The sequence below is a fragment of the Homo sapiens genome, chromosome 13 (genome assembly GCF_000001405.40).
Source record: "Homo sapiens chromosome 13, GRCh38.p14 Primary Assembly".
NCBI classification, from domain to species: Eukaryota; Metazoa; Chordata; class Mammalia; order Primates; family Hominidae; genus Homo; species Homo sapiens.
This window is the reverse complement of record NC_000013.11, coordinates 64683501-64686624: the sequence shown is the minus strand read 5'-3', so window position 1 is coordinate 64686624 and position 3124 is coordinate 64683501. Positions and strand designations below refer to the sequence as shown.

Sequence of the window (3124 nt, the reverse complement as noted above, 5' to 3'; positions counted from 1 at the left end):
ATTGTGGGAGCTAAGAACACAAAGTATATTGATGTCTTTATTACGGCTAGCAGATATTTAAGAGTGTTAGCACAGGTCTTTCAATACATTTTGCTTTTAAGAGAAGTTACTATTTGTTCTTAATTAGGTGGGGAGGAAAGTCTCTTTGAAGAGGAACCTCTACTTCACTTTTTACAGTAGGCATTGTGGATGCCTATCAACATACCTCGACTACAAGCCCATTTTTGAGTGACATATATATAGAAATGTGTCCTTATAGCATATATATGTTATATATACATATATATGTCTGATATGCAGGTTACATTATGTTATATATATGTATGTTATATATGTCTCATGTATATAACCTATATATATCAGACATATCTATGTATATCAGACATAACATAACATGTATATATCAGACTATAAAAATAACATATATAAAACAGATTATATATATCAGACTACAAACATATATATAAAAAACAGATTATATAAATAGATATAAAAGACTATAAACTTTCTGGAACTTTGAAAATATGACATATTAGTTTCAAAGAAGACAATTATGTGGTTGGAGTTAACTGATAAGACTAGAGAAGTACAATTCTAACCTAAAAATTTGTCAACAGTTTTGAAGTAACACTGATAGCCCCATGAGGATGTCAATTGAAAGTCAATTTACCAAGAGCACGTAGAGGCAAAGACCTGCACAATGTGCTTTTCTCTTTATGTGAAGAAAAAATGGCATTTGATTAAAGTCGGACATGCAGCAGTAGCCTTTGTATTACAAACATGTAGTCTTATTATTGGTAGTTAGCCTATGAGAGTGGATGTGTTACAATGAATGAATGTTATAGGATGGTTGATCTGGACACCAGTGATGGTTATCTGAGCTCAATCAGCAATTTGATTACACTTGGTATCAGCAGTCCCTGACTCTGAAGCTCTTCATAACTGACCTAGATACTTTGACCAACAGCAGAAATTCATTTCTACCGTCCACAGACATTAAAAGGGTTATCTTCAATCTGCTAGTGTGCTATTTTCCAAATTGCAAACTAAATAGCTGTCATTAAGAGTAGTCTAGTAATTTGTAAAGTATAGCAAGGGAGGAAAAATAGTTCCAGAATGGTGGATGAAAAGCTCTGTCCCCAGTAAATAACCATAACAAATTTTAAAAAATAAAAATACAGTTTCCAGAAATTGTTCTAAGTGCATACAAAAGATAATAAACACTTGTTCAAGAAAATGTACTAAATCTTTATAAGAAAAACAAGAATGTGTGGACTTGAACCATGAACAATCTTTTCCCCGCTCAGTTCAGCATGATGAAAGCTCCACTCTGAAGGGGTGAGCCAAAAAGATAGAGATTATTCTTTCCCAGCTTGCAGCCAAGGGCAACAGTATTACTTCAGGAGAATCATGCCATTGTTATTTCTCATTCTGCCCAGCAGCATGTGGCAGGGTCTGTATTTCAAATGCGGATATATTAGAGGTAAAGGGCATTCTCCACCCCATTTAGAGGGTGGGATCTCAAACCAGGCATGGAAAGCTGAGGATAATAAAGCCCCTCAACCAACTTGCTCAAAAGGCAGACGGGTTCCGTACTAAGAGTCAAGCTGAGAAAAGAAGACGTTGGGACTGCAAAAAAGTGCTCTGTTCATGAAGCTAGTGTGTCACTCTAAAGGAATTGGGCCACTCTCTCTACTCCAAGCAATAGAGAACTCATGCAGAGATTTTTCCCAGGGGGTGAAACAAGTGGTAATACAGAGTAGTTCAAAGCGTTCACCAGGAGAATTGACTTCATTTAGACCACAATGTAGGGAACTTGAAGGCATTTGCAAAACAGATTTTGGTGATAAGCAATGGAGGGGAGTTTAGATATCTCACAACACAATAGGACAAACTAGAGGCTACCAGGTTACAAGGCACGTGCACACACACACACACACACACACACACCCAGAAAAGAAAGGTAAAAAGACCATTCATCTCGTAAAAACAAACCTCAAAAACTAGCCTCAGAAAACTACTGTTTCAAAGAGACTGTGAAGTAATTTATGCTACAGGGAATTGTTGAACTCAATAGGGCAATCAGCGGGCAATTCATGATGTCTACCAGATAGGGGAGATGCCAACGGAGGTAGACAGGTTAAGAGAAATATAAAGGAAAGACTATCTACGAAAGCCCTGTAGAATCACTATTATACCAGGATGATTGTCTTCATACACAAAGATAATCTCCTTATACCTTAGAGGAGTGACAGCAGAGGCTTTACACTGTATAGAAAATACACTTTACTGGAGGTTGCAGTGAGCTGAGATTGCGACACTGCACTCCAGCCTGGACAACAGGGGGAGACTAAATTTCAAAAAAAAAAAAAAAGAAAAGAAAATACACTTTACTAAAATAGTCTTGCCCAAGTTACTAAACAAATAAACACACAATGAGATAAAAACAAATGCAATCCCTGAAGAAAAAGAAAAGGGAAATCAATATCTAGACTTGATACAATAAATTATCCAAAATGTCCAACTGTAAGCAAAAAATTGTGAGGTACCCACACAGAAAACTGTGGCCCCAGAAATGGGAGATTGGAGAGCAGCAGTGTTAAAAAACTGGATGTGAGATGGCTCAAATGTCAGCCTTAGTAGACAAAATATTCAAAGTAACTATTATAATTACATTTGAAAGCCCAAGGAAAACCATGCTTAAAGATGTTAAAAAAAAAAGGATAAAATATCATTGTCTCATCAAATATAGAATATCACTAGAGAAATAGAAAATATAAAGAGTCAAATTAAAATTCTGGAATTGAAAATTACAATATTTGAAATACAAAATTTACCAAAGGGGCTCACAAGTGGATATGAATTGGCAGAGGAAAATATCAGCAAGCTTGGAGACAAATCTGTAGAAATTATGTGCTCTATAAACAGAAAAAATAAATAAACACATAAATAGAACCTCAGAAATATGTGGGACACTATTAAGCACAACAATATACATGCAAAGGGAATACCAAAAGAAAGAGAACACGAGAGAAATAAAGTAGCAGATAAATATTTCAAGTAATTACTTAACAATTTTATAAAAGACATTAATCCTTAAACCAATAAGCTCAATGAACTCTAA

The 3124-nt window shown here is 35.3% G+C and overlaps 2 annotated features.

Moving 5' to 3' along the window:
- Positions 1248 to 1793: an enhancer, noted in NCBI's record as "OCT4-NANOG hESC enhancer chr13:65258964-65259509 (GRCh37/hg19 assembly coordinates)". NCBI's record gives its function as "activates a minimal SCP1, AML or CMV promoter by ChIP-STARR-seq in naive and primed H9 embryonic stem cells {active_cell/tissue: H9 hESC(naive and primed)}" and the evidence as "EXISTENCE:reporter gene assay evidence [ECO:0000049][PMID:30033119]".
- Positions 1794 to 2340: an enhancer, noted in NCBI's record as "OCT4-NANOG hESC enhancer chr13:65258417-65258963 (GRCh37/hg19 assembly coordinates)". NCBI's record gives its function as "activates a minimal SCP1, AML or CMV promoter by ChIP-STARR-seq in primed H9 embryonic stem cells {active_cell/tissue: H9 hESC(primed)}" and the evidence as "EXISTENCE:reporter gene assay evidence [ECO:0000049][PMID:30033119]".